This window comes from Homo sapiens, chromosome X (assembly GCF_000001405.40).
Source record: "Homo sapiens chromosome X, GRCh38.p14 Primary Assembly".
NCBI classification, from domain to species: Eukaryota; Metazoa; Chordata; class Mammalia; order Primates; family Hominidae; genus Homo; species Homo sapiens.
The window spans coordinates 30,860,239-30,881,758 of record NC_000023.11 but is presented as its reverse complement, the minus strand read 5'-3'; the positions used below and the strand labels follow the sequence as shown (position 1 = coordinate 30,881,758).

The following is a 21,520-nucleotide window of genomic DNA, read 5'->3' as shown; positions in this document are numbered from 1 at the left end:
AAGACCTCGGTTTCTTCATTTGTAAAATTAGGGAGTTTGACTAGATGTGTAAATCTAGTTGTTAGTTAACTTCTAAGATGTAAAAACCCTCTTGTTTAACAAAAACCTACAAGATCAAGTTGCTTATCTGAAATCTTTATGAATCAACACTAGTCACTAAGTCTAGATATAAGTCAGTTTATCAATTGGGTTCAAATAGTTTCAAACCAATATTACTGTAAGTTTGAGAGTCACTAGTTGGTTTGACACCTCTTGTATATTTTTGGTAATTAGTATATTGCTTTTTAAAATTTTGTTATCTGATTTTTGTGCTTTACCCTGAAGCAATGACCTTCAAACTTTTTTCTCATATTCCCTAAACAATTTTGAAAAATGTACTCCTTTACACTTAAAAAAAAAACAAAAAACCTCTTACTGAAGTTTAATATGCAGAAAGTACACAGAAAGTACGGTAGTGAACAACTCAGTGAATTTTCACCAACTGAGCACACTTGTGTACTAGCACCCAGATCAAGAAATTCTTACTACCTTACCCCCCTCCACCCCCATCCCTGCATATTGTCCTAACTTCTAACACCACAGATTAATTTTGCCTACTTTTGTACTTTATCTAAATGGACTCTTTTGTCTCTGACTTCTTTTATGCAACATCGTGAATTTGAGATGTATTTATATCGTATGTAGTTGTAGACTGTTCATTCTCATTACTGTATACTATTCCACTGTATGAATAGATCATTATATATTATTGTTGAGGGATATGTACGTAGATCTCAGTTTGTGGAGAATGTCTTTGTGACCTTGGAGTAGGCAAAGATTTCTTCAGCAGGACTTTTCAGGAGTAATTATTTTACAGTTTAGATTGGATAAGGAATGGGAGAACTGGTTTATTGAAATATGAGCAGTTAAATTTTTTTAAATGTTAATATGTAGTTAAAACTTGATATTCTCTAAATCTCGGGGAGAATGTTAATATTTTTAACTAAATCTTCCAGGTAACAGGTTTGTGCTTTCATGACTATTTTGGGAGGAATTTCTTCAAAAATGTGTCATGTACTTCTTTGTCTTTTTGACTTGCCGATTTGTAGGAGTTTTTTACTATATGCTGGAAATGAGCCCTTGCTGGTTGTAAATATCTTCTCCCACTGTGTGGCATGCTTTTTCTATTTCATGGTATTCTCATAAGATTACCTCCAAGGTATTCTCTCATCTTCTAGAAGCTTTGTTGTTTTGGCTTTCACATATAGATCTAGCATATACCTGAAATTGATTTTTGTATTTTGTGTGAGGTAGGGGATAATACCGTCTTTTCCTATATGGATAGCTAATTTTCCCAGCACACCATTTCCCTGCTATTGTCAGGAATCAAGTGTCCATATATCTGTGGTTCTGTTTCTGTGCTTTCTGTTCTGTTCCTTTGGTCTGTTTGTCTCTACTTGTACTGATGCCACATTGTCTTGTTTATTATAGTTTTATCATAAAACTTGATATCTAGTAGAACAAGTTCTTCCACATTGTCCTTCGAAAGCATCTTCGCTATTCTTGGCCCTTTGCACATTTCTTTGATTTTAATATCATCTTGTCATTTTCCACACACACCCACAAAACCTGTTGCTACTCTGATTGGAACTGCATGGCATCTAGAGAGCAATTTGGGAAGAATTGACATCTTTATCATTTTCTAATTCATGAACATGATACACTACGCCATTTATTTAGGTCTTTAATTTCTTTCAGTAATGGTTGTGATTTTCTCCGGAAGATTGTTCACAACTTTTGAGAGTTTTATTTGTAGATATTTGATATTTTTTGATATTGTAAATGTTTATAGCCATTATTTTGTTTGTTTATATCTTTATATTGACCTTGTATCTAATAATTTTGCTCAACTTTTAGTCATATATCTTTAGAGTATGTATTTGATCTTTTACTATGTATTCAGTCTTCTTATCTGCAAATAAAGTCTTGTTTCTTCCTTTCGAAATGTTATACTTTTGTTTCTTATCTTACTGTACTGGCTAGTATTTCGATTATAATGCAGAATAGAAGTAGTAATAGTGGCGCTATTGTCTTTTTTCCTTTCTTGAAAGGAAAACTTTGAACATTTCTCCATTAAATATGATGTTTACTTTAATTTTTTTCTAGCTATCATCAGATTAAGGAAGTTTCATTCTGTCCTTAGTTTATTAGGAGCTTACATCATGAATAGATACTGGATTTTATCAAATGTTTTTCCTATTGTTAATATAACCATAGGATATTCCTCAAGTCAAATTATATTGATTGATTTCCTAATGCTAAATAAACTGCATTCCAGAAATAAACCTAGCATGGTCAACATCACATTTTCCTCTAATTTTACTTTGGAATTTTAGATCTTTGTTCGTGAGTGGGATTGGCCTGAAATTTTGTTTTTCTTGTACTGTCCTTGTCAGGCTTTAGTAGCCTTGTAAAATGAGCTAAGGAAGATACCTGCTTTTTGATTCTCTGGAAGAGTTTAGGTTAAGTTTGGTTTTATTTTTTCTTTAAATGCATGATAGATTTTAGCAGTGAAGCCATTTAGGCCTAGAATTTTCTTTGTGGGAAAGCTTTTAATTACAGATGCAGTTTTAAAAATACTAATAGTATTCTTCAAGTGTTTCTATTTTGTTAATATCTGCTTTTATATTCAGTATATTTTATATACCTTTTTAGGAATTATTTTGCTCTTTTTCTTTCTAACTTCTTGAGATGGGTAGGTAGGTGTTTATACCCTTGTTTCCTTCCTGACATACATATTTAAAGCTATACATTTCATTTTCAAGTATTGCTTTACCTGCATCCCATCATTTTTGAGATGTAATATTTTCATTATTTCACAATATTTTAAAATTCCCACTGTAATTTCTTTTTTGATCCATGGGTTTTTTAAAAGTATATTTCTTAATTTCCAGTAATATGAGAATTTTCTAACTGTGTATTTTTTGTATTTTGTTTCTGGCTTTAACACATTTTCCTTAGAGAACTTTGAGTGATTTCAATCTTTTAAAATGCCCTGAGACTTACTTTATGGCTTAGCATGTGGTCAGTTTTTGCAAATATGTAAGCACTTGAAAAGCATATATTCTGCAGTTACTGGACACAGCATTCTATATATGTCCATTGATCAAGTTTGGTAATTGTATCGTATCTCTGTCCCTACCAACTTTTTTGGTCTGCTTATTCTTTTAACTACTGAGAGAGATATCTTTCTTTCTTTCTTTTTTTTTTTTTTTTTTGAGATGGAGTCTTGCCCTGTTGCCCAGGCTGGAGTGTGCAGTGGTGCGATCTCAGCTCATTGCAACCCCTGCCTCCCAGATTCAAGCAATTCTCCTGCCTCAGCCTCCCATGTAACTGGGGCTACAGGCACGTGCCACCACACCTGGCTAATTTTTGTAATTTTTGTATTTTTAGTAGAGACGGGGTTTCACCATGTTGACCAGACTGGTCTCGAACTCCTGACCTCAAGTGATTCACCTGCCTCGGCCTCCCAAAGTGCTGGGATTACAGGCATGAGCCACCACACCCAGCCAAGAGGTGTCTTAATATTTGCCCCTGAGATACTAATGCATGTCTCATTCTCCTAGAAGTTTTGTCAACCTTTGCTTTATATATAATTTGAGTCCATGTTATCAACTGCATACAAATTTAGTTCGTTATATTGTTCTGGTGAATTAAGCATTTTATGACTATGAAGGGACTCTTTTTAACTCTAGTGATCCTTTTTCTTTGATTCTATTTTGTCTGAAATTAATACAGCAATACCATCTTTAATAGAGCAATACCATCTTTATTTTAGCTAATGTTTGCATGATATGTGTTTATCCTTTTACTTTTAACCTTTCTGTATTCTTATGTTTTAGATGGGGCTCTTGAAAGCAACATATAGTTGTAGATTTTTTTTAACCCAATCTGATAATCATTCTTTTTTGAAACATTTGATTCATTTATACTTAATATAATTATTGACATTTTGGGGTTAAGTACAGCATTGCATTTTTATTCTACTAGCTCTGTATTTCTTTTTCCCCTTGTCTTTTTCTTTTATTTGACTATTTTTATATCATTTTTCCTTTATTACTTCAGACATCACTTATTCATTTTTATTCTTTTTGTGATTACCCTAGCATTTATAGCATGTATTCTTCACTTATCAAAGTCTAGTGTTAATTGATACTTCTACCTTCCTCCTAGTTGAAGCAAGAATATTAAAGCACCTTAGTTCCATTTACCTACCTTGTGACATACATATTGTTGTCCTGTAATTTAATTTTCTGTATGTATTTTAAACCTTACAAGACATTATTTTATACAGTCAATATTCCTTTAGATTTCACGTGCTTATTTGAACTTCATGGGTCTTCATTCCTTTCTCTATCTGTGACCTTCCATCTTGAGGCAGTTTTCTTTTGCTTCATTCTTAGTGAGGGTTTGCTGGAGATGAACTCTGTTTTTATTTGTCTGAGCCTGTATTTTAATTTTTTTCTTGAAGGATATTTTCTCCTCAGTGGAATACTAGGTTGGCAGTTGTTTTCTTCATGCTTCTTGGAGATACACAGTCTTTTAGCTGCCATTTTTGTTGTTGAAAATTAAGCTATCAATCTAACTGTTGCTTCTTTGAAAGTAATCTCCCCACCTCTGCCCCTGCTGCCCCTCCATCAGGATGCTTTAAAACTTTCCTTTGTCTGGTAGGAATTCATTGAGATTGTTACACATGTGGTTTGACAGGTTTCATCATTTTTGGAACATTTATTCAAATATTGCCTCTGCCCCATTCTGTCTCTTTTCCTTCTGGGATTCTGATTAACTCTTGGATATTAGACCTTTCTCACTGTATCTTCCATGTTTCTTACCCTCTCTTCATTCTGAGCGTTTTATTTTCCCCCGACCTATCTTTTGGTTCACTGTCTCAACGGTGTCTATTGGCTGTTAGACCTGTTTATTGAATTCTTAGTTTCGGTTTTTGCATTTCTCAGTAATAAAATTATTCTTTGCTTCTTTTAAAAATCTGCTGTGTAGCCCGGACAACATGGCAAAACCCCATCTCTACAAAAAAAAAATACAGAAATTAGCTGGGCATGCTGGTGCATGCCTATAGTCTCAGCTACTCAGGAGACTGAGGTGGGAAGATCACCTGAGCCCCAGAGGTCAAGGCTGCAGTGAGCCGTGATCACGCCACCGCATTCCAGCCTGGGTGACAGAGCGAGACCCGGTCTCAAAAACACCCAAATTCTGCTGTGTCACATTTTATGATTTCTAGGTCATTGCTGAGATTTTTAAGTTTGGCTTTCATCTCCTTGAACATAGCAAGCATAATTTAAAATCCATGTCTGATAATTCCAATACTTGGAGTCCTTCTGAGTCTCTTCTGGTCATCTTATTATGTTTCCTCGTGTGCCTGATTGTCTTTAATTGCATGCTGGGCATTGTATTTGAAAAATTATTTGAAAAATCATTTGAAACCAAGGATGATAGTTTTTCAGAAAGGAGTGTATGTGTGTGTGTGTACATCTGCTTAAGGGAATCCAGAAAATCCAGAGTTGCTTAATCAAATCTCAGCTTTAGAGACCTTCCTGGGCCAACCAGATGACTCAAGGCCACATCACATTCAGTGTGTGAACTGATTCATTGCGATTCACCCTTATTTCTAAGTTGCAGCCCTTCAGGGTCCCAACCCGAAAGTGGGTGAAGAGGATTTTCCCTTTTGTCCTTCTGTTTTGGCTCTTTGACACTTTTAAGAAAGGCATTTCTTATATTTTGACCAACCCTATTCCTTGCCTTCAGATAGGGAGGTGCTTTGTTCGCTCTTTATGGGCAGGATTTTCTTAGAAGTGGCAAAGACTGTCATTTTCTCTAAGACTTCAGACTCAGCCCTAGTTCTGTTTAAGCTTTGTTTTATATAGCTGTACTCACTTGTATAATTATATACATTTTTAATTGAAAGGTTACATTGTATGTGCGTAAATATAAGTAAATTGTTTCCTGAACACTCAGCAATATTTTAAGTCTCTTCAACCTTGGTCAATTGCTAGACCTTGACAATGGACAGGTTTATTTAAATTTCAGCTACGTCTGGAATGACTCAAAAGATGAAATCCCTCTTAATTGCTATTGAAATTAGGATGCATAATATCAACTAAAATTTTTTCCTCTCATGGAAGAGAATACTTTCCTAGTTACACTTTTGCAATCACATCTTCTGTCTTAGCATACTTATATGTAGGTATAATATATATCTGCCCTTGTGAAATAGGAAAAAAAAAAAAGGCAGTTCTGCTGAGATTCCTAGATTTCTGCCATATGAGAACCCTCAAACAACCTAATCAATGAACATTGTGCTTTACAAACTTTTTTCCTTCTATGTAAATTAATAACCCACAGCAGCCTTGTGAGGTAAGTATATGATAGGTGTGATATTAAGCAAAGGATTAGGAAACTGGGCCTAAGAGGTTAAGTAACTCGTCTGTCGTCCCACACCTGGTGAATGGCATATGTTCTTTGTCTGTTAATATTACAGCATTGTGTTTCAGCTATAATGGCCAGGTAACTCTTGCCTGCATATGCTCACTGACTTCCCAGTTTTATCATATTATGCTTTCTTCTTTCTGTAAGTCATATAATATCCTGACCCCATGACTCATGTCCTGAAGATTGAGACAATTGGGAGATTACTCCTTCATATCTCATCCTCACCGCCTCCCACCCCATTTCTAGAACATGGTACCACCAGCTCTGGAATTTGCCAACCTCTCTGCCCTGTTAGAAAGCTTGCTGTGTCACTAGTCCTTTCTCATCCCTACACATACAGTCCCTTTCTCTCTTTTTAGACATGTCTCAATTTTTCCAGTTCTAAAAGAGATGCGTCTTTGCTTTCCAGTTCATTTACCGTCTTTCTTGGCACTCAGGGCTTCCTTTGTTGCTTCTCCAGTCACTCTTGATGAAATCCTAGCCAGTCTTGTTTGCCTTATCCTTCTGAATCTTAAGAAGGGCAAAAAGCTTATCTGCCTTGTACTTCTTTTCCAGCAATAGAGTCAATGCTCCTATACTTCTAGTGATTCTGCTTCTGAACCGCCCTCATATCTCATTTTCAAATCATTGTTTTCAGCATCCAGCAACATCCTTGCTACTCACTTGTAATGATAGCCTTGAACAATTATTTTACGTTAGGCCTGTGAATGTCAAATACCCTTGTTTATTTGTAGGTACTTGACATTTGAACGTTTTATTTGAACATTTCTAAATGTACACAAATGAAAGGTCCAATGAACCTCTGATGCTACAGTTACATACGTTTTACCATACTAGTTTCATCTCCTTACTCCTCTTTTTTCCAAGAATTAAGGCATAGCCAAGACATAATTTCACTCCCCAATAATTTAACATCTCTAAAACAACACATTTTCTTACATAGCTACAATGTTATTATCTTATACAGCACATACAATACAGTTCTTAATAGCACATATAATACAGTTGACCCATGAACAAAGCCGAAGTTAGGAGTGCTGACTGCCTGCAGAGTCAAAAATCCACCTGAACTTTTGTTGTTGTTGTTGTTATTGTTGTTTTGAGACAGGGTCTCACTCTGTCCCCCAGGCTAGAGTGCAGTGGCATGATCATGGTTCACTGCAGCCTCAATCCCCTGGGCTCAAGTGATCCTTCCACCTCAGCTTCCTGAGTAGCTGGGACCATGAGCATGCACCACCACACCTACTTTTTTATATTGTTTTGTGGAGATAGGGTCTCCTCATGTTGCCCAGGCCAGTCTTGAACTCCTGGGATCAAGGGATCCTCCCGCCTTGCCTTCCCAAAGTACTAGGATTACAGGCGTGAGCTACTGTGCCCAGCCAATGTGCCACTTTTGACTCCCCCAGAACTTAACTAGTAATAGCCTACTGTTGAACAGAAGCCTTATCAGTAATATAAACAATTAACACATATTTTGTATGTTACATATATTACTGTATTCTTACAATAAAGTAAGCTAGAGAAAAGAAAATGTTAAAATCATAGAAAAATATATTTACTACTCATTAAGTGGAAGTAGATCATCATAAAGGTCTTCATCGTTGTCATCTTCATGTTGAAGAGGCTGAGGAGGTGGAGGAAGAGGTGGGGTTGGTCTTGCTGTCTCAGGCATGGCAGAGGCAGAAAAAGGGGAGGAGGTGGAAGGAGAGGCAGGCACACTTGATGTAACTTTTTTTTTTTTTTTTTTTGAGACGGAGTCTCGTTCTGTCGCCCAGGCGGGAGTGCTGTGGCGCGATCTCCGCTCACTGCAAGCTCCGCCTCCCGGGTTCACGCCATTCTCCTGCCTCAGCCTCCCGAGTAGCTGGGACTACAGGCGCCCGCCACTGCGCCCGGCTAATTTTTTGTATTTTTAGTAGAGACGGGGTTTCACCGTGGTCTCGATCTCCTGACCTCGTGATCCGCCCGCCTCGGCCTCCCAAAGTGCTGGGATTACAGGCGTGAGCCACCGCGCCCGGCCGTAACTTTTTATTTTATTGAAAAAAATCCACATATAAGTAGACCCACATAATTCAAACCTGTGCTGTTCAAGGGTCACCTGTACTTAGTCCATCCTTAAATTTCCCTAATTGTCTAAAAAAAATTCGTTTTTTGATAGTTGGTTTGTTTGCAACAGGATCTACTCATTGTATTTGGTTATACCCCTTAAGTCTCTTAATTCTCTTATAATGTATAACAATCCTCTCTGCTTTTTTTCATCCTCAGACTATGCCATTCTGGTGAGATATTGTTTAACTTGTTTCTTTATCCTCTTACTTCATATGGACCGGAAATTAGATCTATATGCTTAATTAGGTTCATAATATATTTTCTTGGAGGGGTGGGCAAGAGTGCTTGTGGTCACTTCATATTACATCACATCTGGAGGCACATATCATCTGGTCATTTCACCTTAAGTGTTGTGAAGATTCATCAGAGGGTTCAAGTGGTGACAGCTTGATCCCTTTGTGAAGCCCAACCTTTTACTTAATGCTGTTAGCATCCATTGATTACTGGTGCATGAATTAGTTATGTAATTAAAGGTTGCAAAATTGTGATTGTTCAATTTGGTCACTTCTGCTATTATTAGCTGAAATATTTATATATGGACAAACTGCTTTCTCATTCACAAGAGCTATTTGGTTAACCTGAAATATGTAGTCATTTATTGAATTGTTAAATGTATAACTCTATTATTTTACTAAGGCTTATGATAAAGTGATTCTTGAAGAAGTTAAAGCTATTCCTGAATGTTAGATTAGTAATTTTTGTGGGTTGGGTCATGGGGAAGGTCTTCCAATCCTGAGCGAACAGTTCTAATCCTATTGAGAAAAGGTAGGGTGGCAGGGAAAAACAAACAAAAAAACAGAAGAAAAGATTGTATACTCTCTTCATTATTGTGGGCTTGCAGTGCGGGTGTGGTGCTTACTTGGGGTATGGGAATTTTAAAAAGTTCCTCTACTTTACCAGAGACTACATCAGACTCACCACGGAGTCCTTTAAATTTTAAAGACCTATGGCCCTAAAAGGGCCTCAGCACAGTTTTGCAATCAAGTTCATTAAATTTTAATGACTAGTACATCTTGGGAAGCTGCAGGGACTCCTGATGGTTTTCCAGGGATGCAGCTAAAGCTCCTCTTGCTAGCTTTCTCCGAAGCTAAAATCTCAGGAAAGCTTCATTTGTCCCCTCTGCTGTTGTAAAGCTCTACCTTAGGCACTCGAGGTGATGAGAGAGGAGCAGGCTGGCTCAGGCAGTCAGGAAAACTTTCTCTTAGTATCAATTAAACATAAGTTTCATTCACTGAAATTTCATGTAGTAAAATGGCTGCCTGCTTTTTCATGACCTTTTATTCATACACTATATCACTTGCTCATACTGTTGTATTTAAAGCTTTCACAGTTTGAATCTTACCTCATTAGCCTTTTATTTTTCAGGACACTGTCTTCAGCCTTTTCTTCAAGTTTTTGACCGTGGATTGTGTTGTGTCAAACTGGATGAATTATCTTAGTTGAATTTTCACCAGTTGAAAAATTGGAGGTAAGGAGTATATTTCTTTTTTGAAAATGAATCTATATTACTGTTAACATGTTTACACCCTCCCCTCCATTTATATTCTGTGTCCTTTGTGCACTTAAGAGCAAGGATGACAAAATAAAAGATGTCCAAGTGATTTCATGTGTTTAGATTTAGGCCCTAAGAGCAGCAGCTGCTACTGCTACTACTAGTACTAGTACTACTACTACTGCTAGTGGGAGTTACAAGTTCTTTGGACAATTCATTTGCTATTAGAAACCTCACCAGAAAATAGAAGGGTAATTTAGCAGTTTATTTTGAATAAAAGGGGCTAATCCTACTCAGGTGCCAGATCCCCAGCACTGGAGCTGGTGGAGATTGAAAGATCTGCCCCCAAGAAATAACTAGATGTGTGTGGGATATACGAATCTTCCAACTTCCTAGTTTTTGTAATTTTTCTTATTCTCAAATCCATGTTAAATAACTGAATTAAGCAGATGGTAAATACAGTATTATGAACAAATAAGGGTATAATTTTGTTAGTGGTATTGTAACCATAATTCTTGCTTTGAACCATTGGTAGATCTGTATCAGGAAAGACTACATAACAATATCAGCCGTGATTTCTACATAGTTTATCTTTCTACCTTATGAAAATGTTCCCACTTTTTATAACATCTGTTTCCTAGTATCCAGCATGGGTATGTGCTGTGAATTAAATACTTAGGCAAGATGTTGTGACACCCGTTTAATAATCTTGGCTTTTAACAAGTTTTAAAATCCCTCCAGCCTTCAGTTATCTTCTTGTGTGAAATGTTTGTATTTGGGTTGAGTTCAGGGTTTCGCAGATTTGGCACTATTGGCATCTTGGGCTGGATAATTTTCTGTTGTCAGGGGCTGTCCTGTGCAGTGTAGGATGTTTAGCAGCATCTCTGGACTCTGCCTGTCAGATGTCAGTGGCACCTTTCCTCAGTATGACAACCAAAAATATCTTCAGACGTTGCCAAATGTCCCTTGCAGGGAAAAGTCACCCCTGGTTGGGAACTACTGGGTTAGATGATGTGGAGTTTCTTCCAGCTTTATAATTCTATTGTTTTTATTTTAAACAAAAAACCTATTTTTTGTAATCCAGCTTAAATGTCATCTCTTCCCTGAAGCTTTCCTCAGCTCTCCTTCTCTTTGTTCTACCTTCATTGTTTCTTTTTCTGACTACTTATTATAGAACTCAACCCCACTCTATTATAACTGCCAGTGTTTCTCTCACTACGAGGACATGGGTCTTCTGTATCGCCAAGCTTAGATTTTATTAAATGAGTGGGCAATGGGTTAGAAATTGTTTAGTTAATGATTATAAATAGCATTTCTGTTAATCTTTCAAACTCTTCCACTAGGAAATTCCCATAGTTGTGATCTTGGATTTCAGGGTTAATGAGACTGATTATTCATTTTTTAAAAAAATCTTTTAAATATATTAGAAGGCAGGAGCCTCCTATAGGTACGTGAGGATGCTACATGAACACATCTAGGCTGCACTTGAGAGAAATCACACAGAAATTCATAACGTGAAGAGTTAAGTCATTTCAACTGTCATATCCAGAGGGTTTCTCCAGTACTTCCATTTTGCTTCTTAATCAGCAAGCTTCCATCTATTTAGAAGAAGGTAACAAGGAAAGTAGTAATATTTTTCCTTGTATAACTTAAAATATATCACCATATTTGAAGTCACTATTTCTCAAACCCACAGTAAGAAATACATTTTAATCGTGATCTAGTACATACGCACATACCTGAAACAAGTTTTTTGAATGAGTATTTGCCATTACTGTGTGTGAAACACTTCGATATTTTCTGTTATTTCTTTTTCTTTTCCCCTTATAGTCATCACGTAGTACATTTGTTATACAATACATTAATAAATCAAAACCCACCATTTGAAAAACACTGTTCTAAGTAATCTCTTTAAGTAATAAAATGTGCAGATGATCTGCTTCTGGCATATGTCACCAATAGGTTGTTCTATCTTTCTTTTAAAATAACGTCATTTAGGAATTGATGCAACCAAGACCTTAAAACACCTTGACCAGAGCAAATTAGATTTCCAGTTATTTTCAAGGCCTATGTTTTGTCATTTATATGGAATATTTAGTGTGTACAAGGCACTGTAGCCAAAAGAGCATGTTTGATTCTTGTTCTCAAGATTTATAGTGAAAAATCCTAGAGGAGAATAAAAAGTTAATATACTAAGTGCTGAAAGTGATAATCAACACACAGTGACTTTTATAGGCATTTATGAAAGGGAGAAAACTTTGTAGGCATTTAGGAGGGGGTTAACATAAATGTGGGATGGCAAAAAACAAACAAAAGGCTGGGCGCAGTGGCTCACACCTGTAATCCCAGCACTTTGGGAGGCCAAGGTGGGCAGATCTCCTGAGGTCAGGAGTTTAAGACCAGCCTGGCCAAAATGGTGAAACCCCATCTCTACAAAAATACAAAAATTAGCCAGGCATGATGGAGGGTGCCTGTAATCCCAGCCACTCAGGAGGCTGAGGCAGGAGAATCGCTTGAACCCAGGAGGCGGAGGTTGCAGTAAGCTGAGATCGTGCCATTGCACTCCAGCCTGGGTGACAGAGCAAAACTCCATCTCAAAAAAAAAAAAAATGTGGGGTGGATTTCGCATTGTTGTATCAGAAAGTAGAAAAAAGTATTACACATGGTAGAAACAGCATTTATGTCAGTGCACAGTGCTTCTTGCTCATACTTGAAGTTAGTTTTTTTTTTTTTGGATAATCAAAGTAACTGAGAAATTAAAAAATAAGAAAGTTTGGTAAACTGCAAAATTAAATGTATGATATAAACACAGGGTATGTTATTTTAGCTCTACTGTGGTTGTAAAATGAAGTTGACTCAGGAGATCAATTAGAAACTTGTATGTATGATAGCTCTGATAAAAGCCAATATATGCCCTAAAATGATAATATTAACATTGAATTACTAGGTTTACTGAGAATGCGGATAATCTCTAAATGGGGAGAGAGAGTGCTCATCTGTCAAAATAAGTGAATAAGGTTACAATTCTCTCTCTCTCTGTCTCTCCCCCCCACGCGCTCTCTCTCTCTCTCTCTCTCTCTCTCTCTCTATATATATATATATATATAAGCTATATATATATATATATATATATATAAGCTATATATATATATATATAAGCTATATATATATATATAAGCTATATATATATATAAGCTATATATATAAGCTATATATATATATAAGCTATATATATAAGCTATATATATATATAAGCTATATATATATAAGCTATATATATATATATAAGCTATATATATATAAGCTATATATATATATATAAGCTATATATATAAAAGCTTATATATATATATATATAAGCTATATATATATATAGCTTTTCACTAAACAGAACTAAACAGAAAACAGGGTTTATAATAGAGGTAGCATTTTTCAAAAAGTTATACACACTTTGTGCTATGCAATTAAAAATCATATAGGCCAGGTGTGGTGGCTCACACCTGTAATCCCAACACTTTGGGAGGCCCAGGTGGGTGGATCACTTGAGCCCAGGAGTTTGAGACCAGCTTGGGCAATATGGTGAAACCCCGTCTCTATGAAAAATAAAAAAATTAGCCAGGTATGGTGGTGCACACCTATAGTCCCAGCTACTTGGGCAGCTGAGATGGGAGGATCACTTGAGCCTGGGAGGTTGAGGCTGCAGTGAGCCGTGAGTTTGCCACTATACTCTAGCCTGTCTCAAAAAAAAAAAAAAAAATTATATGCATGCTTCATAGGCCTGGGCTTAATCCTCTCTTTTCTAAATAGAATGGAGGCTCAGGATGCTAAGTCAGAACCAGGTGTTGACTTAAGAAAATAAGCAGTGGACTTGTTTTTCTTTTTGAACTTCTGCTCTCTTCTGTGGGATAATGTAGAATTTAGTTGCTGTAGAAGATATTTCTGACCTAAAAGAAAAGAAGATTCAGTTTGTAAGGATACTTGGGAAAGAGCCAACCTGCCCTGAAAGTGTGGTCTAGCATCCTGTCTGCTGTTACTTTGAGGCACCAGAAGTCTACTAGTTTTTTGTTATTTTCCATATTGAGTTGGGAAGTTAGCAAAAAGATAACCATCTTTTCGTTTTCTCAGATTTCTAGACTACTGAAAAGAAGTTGCTTTCAGAGCTGGAGATGTGAATAAAATTTCTGTGCCAGGGTTGATAAACCATCTTGAGGTATTTTTTTTTCTAATTTTAAATAACTCTATTTTTTAAAACAGTTTTAGTTTTACAGAAAAATTGAGAAGATGGTACAGGGAGTCCCCATATACCCTGCACTCAGTTTCCCCTATTATTAACAGCTTACATTAGCATGGTACGTTTGTTACAATTAGTGAACCAATATTGAAACATGATTATTAACTGAAGTCTATATTCAGATTTCCTTAACTTTTACTGAACATGTTTTTTTTCCTCTTTCAGGATTCCATCCAGGAAACCCCATCACAGTTGGTTGTTATGTCTCCTTAGACTCCTCTTGGCTGTGACAGTTTCTCAGACTTTTGTTCTTGAGGAGTACTGATCAGGTATTTTGTAGACTATCACTCAATTGGGATGTGTCAGATGGTTTTCTCATGGGTAGAATGGGGTTATGGGTTTTAAGGAGGAAGACCACAAAGGTAAAGTGCCATTCTCACATTCTCATCACATCATACAAACAGTCCATACTATCAACGTGACTTATCACTGTTGATGTTGACCTTGATCACCTGGCTGAGAACGTGTTTGTCAGGTTTCTTCACTGTAATCTTTTTTTTTTTTTTTTTTTTTAAACACCCCTTTCCTGTATTGTGCTCTTTGGAAAGCAGTCACCATGTGCATTCCACACTTAAGAGGTGGGAGGTTATGCTCCACCTCCTTGAGGTGAATTATCTATGTAAATTGTTTGGGATTTTCTGCATGGGAGGCTCCCCCCACCCCTCATTTATCATTCATTCATTTATTCAGTCATTTCTTTATCTCAGTATGGGCTCATGGCTATTTATTTTATACGTTGGATCATAATATAATACTACTTTATTTATTTTGGTGTTCAAATTTTTCCAGCTTTGACCATTGGGAGCTCCTTCAGTTGGCTCCTGTGTCATTTCGACATGCCCTCATCATCATGGGATTTTGATTTTTTAGTACTTCCTTACTTTCTGGTACTACAAGATGCTCCAGGCTCATCCTATATATTCCCTGCCCCAGTTTTAGAATCATCCATTTCTCCACAGGGCCTTGGTTCCCTTTATTAAAGAGAGAATGCAATTAGAAATCAAGAACTGGGTGCTGGGTGTGCTCATTGCTACTGGGGTATTGTTGCCTCTATGTCCTCTCAGCTGAAATTTCCGTGTATATAGTCTATATATTTATGCATATTTATAAATATTTTTATGTATAATTTTAATGTGGCAGCTAACATATTCTTTGTGGGGGGTGTTAAGTTTAAATTAAATATGAATCTATCGTTTCTGGAGGCCATATTTAAATTGAAAATGTTTTTGTGGATTATTTTAATATTATTTCAGTCTCATAGTATATCTCTTGAGACTTACAGAATATGAGATAGATGCAGTGAATATGTGACTATTTCAAAATGGTCTCTACTGTAATAAAAATCCTATAGGATGACTGTTTCATAAATTATTTAGAAGGCTTATTTAGGGGAAATAATAACTATCGTATTCCTCTCCCCCTTGTTATTTGGTAGCACCTTTACATATATGCATGAAAAATCCTGAAAATGGAACTCTTATCTCTGCCAGTAAAAGACCATTTGTTATGCCTCAATATCAGCCACTTTTTGTTACTGTTTAACTTGAAGAATTCACACTGTAGTACAAAAACTCTTCTGTTTTAAAAGCAAGGTTTGCTTTAAACTGTTGTTAAGAGTTATGACATCATCAGAGTCTTACCAGGTAGCCAGTAGTACAGAAGAATAATGGTTAAGAGCATAACCTTAAATTTGTATCCTAGCTTTGCTACTGGTTGACTGTGTAACCACAGGCAATTTATTTGCCCTCTCTGAACTTCAAGTTTCCTTATTTGTAAAACGTGGATGATAATATTACCTCTCTCATGGAAGTATTTTAGGGATTAAATGAGGTAAAGCACTTAGCACAGTACTTGATACTCAGATACGGCTCAGTAAATATGATCTAAAATCAAAACCTCCAAAGCAGCAAAAAAATAGATGAAAGTTTGAAAGCTTTATACTCATATACATACTGTGTTTTGTTCAACAATTATTACTGGACCAGACCAACCAGAAAAATTAATGATTCTTTTATTTTGCAATCCTAAAAGTTCTCTCAAGACAAGGCTAACTTTTCTTCAAACCTGGGAAATGCTCACTCACCTCATTACCTTAATATGCTAGCAGTGGCTGTCAGCCCAAGAAAGTATTGCCTCTCTAGAGGCCACTTGGGGGTGCTACTGAGATTTTATGGGCGGGGCCAGAATGCTAAATACCTTTCATTGCCTGGGATAGTCTTGCATGACGAGGAATTCTTGTGCTCCAAAATTATTGCATCAATAGTATGCCGTTGAGACACACTAGAGTACACTGATACTTACCATTGTATCTTTAAACCTTTCTGCAGAACACATTTCAGGTGTCACAAACCCAGCAGGTATCTAGATGAGTGAAGCAAGGCCAGGCTGCAGTGTTTGGAATCAGCTACGGAGTATAGGAACTAGGCAAACTGTCCTTCCTAAAAGGGGAGTGGTGCCTTAGTTTCAGCCAGTTGTTGCCTGCAGTTGCTAGATCACGTGATTTTTCAGAGAAAAGCTAGATATGTACATTTTTATGTGATGTCTCCCAGTTTTAAATGTAGCTCAACTTTAAAAAAAAAACACACACACACACACACTGTGATGGCCAAACCAGGCAGATCTGTGGGCTGAATTCATTCCACAGACCATTGGTTTGCAACCTCTGATATAACTGTTTCAGGAAGTGACCTAAAATTCTGACAGAGGTAAAACACTCTGGGCCATAATGGCACCACCCTGTTTATTTGCTGAGCTCAGGAAAAACTGTGGAAACAAAGCACTAGATGTCGACATCATTTTCTAGAGTGTGGGGAATTGTGGCATTAGAGCAGAGCTCTGGGGGAGCTTCCTCTCTGATTGGGAGGAGCAATTCTGTTGGGAGACATCCTAGCAATTGATTTTTCAGGAACAGAAACCACTGTGCCTTGTGTTACCAGCAGTCTTGAATTAGGGAGGTGGCTGCACCACTGAAGGAAGCCTCTGATTCCACTGCTAAGCATAGCATCTGGGCCCCATAGTCTGTCTTGCCTTTAAGAAAAGAATCCTCACAAAGCTGACATGCAATAAAGGCTTAAAACTCTGCAGAATCTCTTGGTTCATGTGGCCCCTGAACTGTGTGATGATCATAGGGTTTATGTCTTTAGTGTTTCTTCTTTCTTGATCTAGGGTTACCGCCTACACAGCTCCACAATCCACAGCTGTGGCCATCTGGACTTTAGTGGGGGTGTTTCAAGGGTGTCCCAGGAGTTTGGTCATGCCTGAGCCTAGCCTGTACAGCTTAGATACTGCTTGAGTCCTCTGTCTGGCTTTAAAGTGACAAATCATCATTCAGCACTTATTGTATAAAAAATAGCCCATTATAATGTTAAGAAACAAACTCAATGTGTATTTTGCTTAGTAGTTGTTGCCTACATTGATATATTTGGACAAGAATAGATTATATGCTTTGATCTGCATGGTAGCCACATCTATAATATGACACTATATGACAGTGTTTTCATTTTGTTTCTATTGGATTAAATACAAAAGTACAGCATAATACTTTACTGTAAAACTTTGTGTTTTTAAAGGAAACTGACTATATTAGGCCATTCTTATGTCACTGTAAAGAAACACCTGAGGCAGGGTAATTTATAAAGAAAAGAGGTTTAATTGGCTCAGGATTCTACAGGCTGCATAAGCATGGCACCAATATCTGCCCAGCTTCTGGTGAGAGCCTCAGGAAGCTTACAATCATGGCAGATGGTGAAGCAAGAGCAGGCATGTAATATGGCAAAAGCGGGAGCAAGGCGGGTGAGGGAGAGGTCCTAGAGTTTTAAACAATCAGATCTTGAGTGAATGGAACAAGGACTCACCTAGGATGGTGCTTAACCATTTACAAGGGCTCTGCCCCTATCATCCAGTCACCTCCCATCAGGCCCCAACTCCAACATTGGGAATCACATTTCAACATGAGATTTGGAGGGGACAAACATCCAAACTGTATCATTGACTTAATTTATTGGCTGGAATATTTTCTGTTTGTAAACAGAAAGCCTCCCAGTGAACAAAATGGAAGTTGCTTTTTTAAAGTATTTTAACATGATATAGTTATCAAAAAATTAAGTTTGAGAGTGTTATATATTACTGTGAAATACTAAATGATTATTCATGTCAGTTAGCGCTGATGTGAGTGAATGTTTGTACAGGGCAGAGTGCTAACCACTATTAAGATTACATACATAATCCCTTAAGAAGGATATGTGTTTACCAGTTTAGATTCCTATTTGTTGTGAAAAGTCAGTCTACTATTAATCATCTTTTCAGATGGTAGCCATTTTTGTAAGCTGTTGGCTTCCATTTGAAAGATGCTTTAACATGTTTCTTCAAAGGAAAGTATTTATAACCATTTTTTAAAAAGGCATTTTCTTCTTGTGTGTTTAAACAGCTAACTTATTTGTACAAGAATTATTTTTTCCTTCCCTCTCAGTCTTCCACCTCACCACACACCTTTAGCTCCCTATGTGAATGATAAACTTAATGAGGGTTTGCTCCTTAGCCAGTCAAAGAAAGGCACTCATCATTAGAAATGTCTCTGATACCTACTAGTGACACAGTGGAAAGAACACAGACTTTGGAGCAGGCAGGCGTGGATTTGAGTCATGATTCTGCCATATGTTCATTCTTTGAGTTCATTTTCTTATTTGTAAAATGGAGATAATCATAACTACCTTTGAGGGCATATTATTAGCTACCAGTAAATGGTAGCTAATTATAGTGATAAAAATAATGGTAACCTTGGATTCAGTAGCATCTGAGGTTTCTGAAGGCTCTGACAAAGCTAGGTGAGAGCTGGCCGCTCTCAAGATCTCTGAAGTATATGGAGCCTATGCTTTTGACACCTGAAGCCTGTCTGTCCGTGTTTTGATTCTTCTTGCCTTTTCTTCTAGCTCATAAAAAAGACAATGGTATTGCCCTTGTATTTTAAAGGCTTGTAATTAAGGTTGGAAAATGAATAAAACCGTTTTTGGGAGCCATTGGGAAAGCTGGAGTTAGGCCTTTGGCTGCTTCAGAAGCTCTTTATTGAAGGTTTGATTAAATAGCCATGAAGTGTTCTGAATGTGGTTTAGCACCTAAAATACTGGGATCACTTCCTGTTAGGAAAACTGTTATTTCTGTAAATACAAGCCGATTTGATTAGTTAAGGTCATCCCTACCATTAAATTCAGTGAATTCCTTTTTTCTCCCCATTTCTCCTAATAAATATTTATTGAACAGCTAGCCTGTGCTAGGCCATGTGCCTACTCGATTGTATACCCTCAAAGGAGATGTTGAATTAAGGAATCTAAGAGTTGTAGGTAGTCGCCTATTATTTAAATGAAGATCCTAAAGCCTTAGAGCTGCACTGTCCAGTAAAGTAGCCACTAACTACAGGTGGCTACTGAGCACTGGAAATGGGACCAGTGTGAATTAAGATGTGCTGTAAGTATAAAATATACACTGGATTTCAAAGATATCATTTGAAAAATATATATAAAATAACTGATTTTATGTAGATTACATTTAAAACAATACTTTTGACATGGGTTAAATGTTACAATTAATTTCACCTATTTCTTTTTAAGTTGGCCACTAGAACATTTAAAATTATACATATGACTCACATATTTTTTACTGGACAATGCTGCCTTAGAGCTTCAGTGACTTGGTAGGATTATACATCTAGCTAGGACTCCTTTGGCCAGTGGAAATTATAAATTGCTTTACTGTGAAAATGGAAGATAGATAATTCAAACCCCATTCAGAAAAAAGTTAAATTAACACTAAGGACTTTGAAATAATTTACATTTTAAATTAAATCCTGGATTGTTAATCTGGTAGCATCTCTTAGTATTTCAGATTTGGAGTTTTCAAAAGGGACAAACTGGAAAAATATACCCATTGATTTAGAAGCGTAAACCAATTTTTTTCCCTATGTGTTCACAAATTGCCCTATATAGGTGACTCCACTCCCCTGACATTTGCTGGGTGGGGGGATGGCAGGAGATGGGGGGACAAGAGTCATCTAAAAGGCTTGTCTATATATTTTTCTTTGAATATGAATAGTGTTTTATCCAAATCTATCTTATTAGGTAGACTGGTTTAGTATAGTGAAATTGATTCATCATTTAACAGATACTTGAGTAGTTGGGCTCTGTAAATACAGTGGTGAACAAGGCACAGATCTTGAGTAGAGCTACAGGCTTTTGTTTGGTTAGCTGGTTTTTGTTGTCATTTTTACTTTTTATTTGGAAATAATTTTAAACTGACTAAAAATAGGAGAAAGAACACCGCATACCCTTTACCTAAATTTACCTATTAACATTTTCCTATTTGCTTTATAGTTGTCTGTGCACACATGCATGTGTGCATGTACACATGTTTGTATGTACACATGTACATATATTTTTTTCTGAACTGTTTGAGAGTAAGTTGCATGCCCTTTACCACTGAATGCTTCATTGTCTAATACCGAAAAATAGGAATATTCTCTTATGTAACCACAGCACAGTTATCAATTCAGAAAACAGGAAATTCAATACATTTAACATTGATAGAATACTTCTAATCTACCATCAACATTTCACTTTGGTCAGTGGATCCACTCATTTATTTTATTAACAGTTTTCCCTTTTAGTATAGGATCAGGATCAGGTAAAAGATTTAGTTGTCATGGCTCTCTCTTTTTTAACCTGGGACATTTTTCAAACCTTTGTCTTAAAATGACATTTCCTTTCCCCTTCGCTTTTTAATAGAAAAGCCCAAAATGAGAAATGTTCTATTTCCTCATGATTAGTTTCAGGTTATGCATTTCTGACTGTAATACTATAAAATGATGTGTTTTTCTCATGGTGTCACATCTGGAGGCCTGTGCAGTCCATCTGGCCCTCATTGGTGATGTTCATCATTTTGATCACCCAGTCAAGATGTTGTTCAATTTGTCCACTGTATAATTAAATTTTTCCCCTTTGCAACTAATAAGCTTTGGGTACACACTTTTAAAACTGTGTGTATTTCCTACTCTTCATCCAGATTTTCCCCTAGATTTAGCATCCATTGATGATACTTGCTTGAAGTAGTCTATACTATGATGGCTGCAAAATGATTTTTCTTCCAGCTCCAGCACT

At 36.7% G+C, this 21,520-nt stretch overlaps 1 protein-coding gene across 11 annotated transcripts in view; it reads left to right on the top strand.

The window, feature by feature from the left end:
* Nucleotides 1-21,520, top strand: part of TAB3 (TGF-beta activated kinase 1 (MAP3K7) binding protein 3) — a 61,813-nt gene that overhangs the window by 7,496 nt on the left and 32,797 nt on the right. For all 11 annotated transcript variants that reach the window (XR_950433.2, NR_174362.1, NR_174361.1 and 8 more), the window contains exons 2-4: nt 9,958-10,060; nt 14,210-14,294; nt 14,541-14,644. The gene's annotated coding sequence lies outside the window, so the exon portion shown is untranslated. The remainder of the gene's footprint in view (nt 1-9,957; nt 10,061-14,209; nt 14,295-14,540; nt 14,645-21,520) is intronic.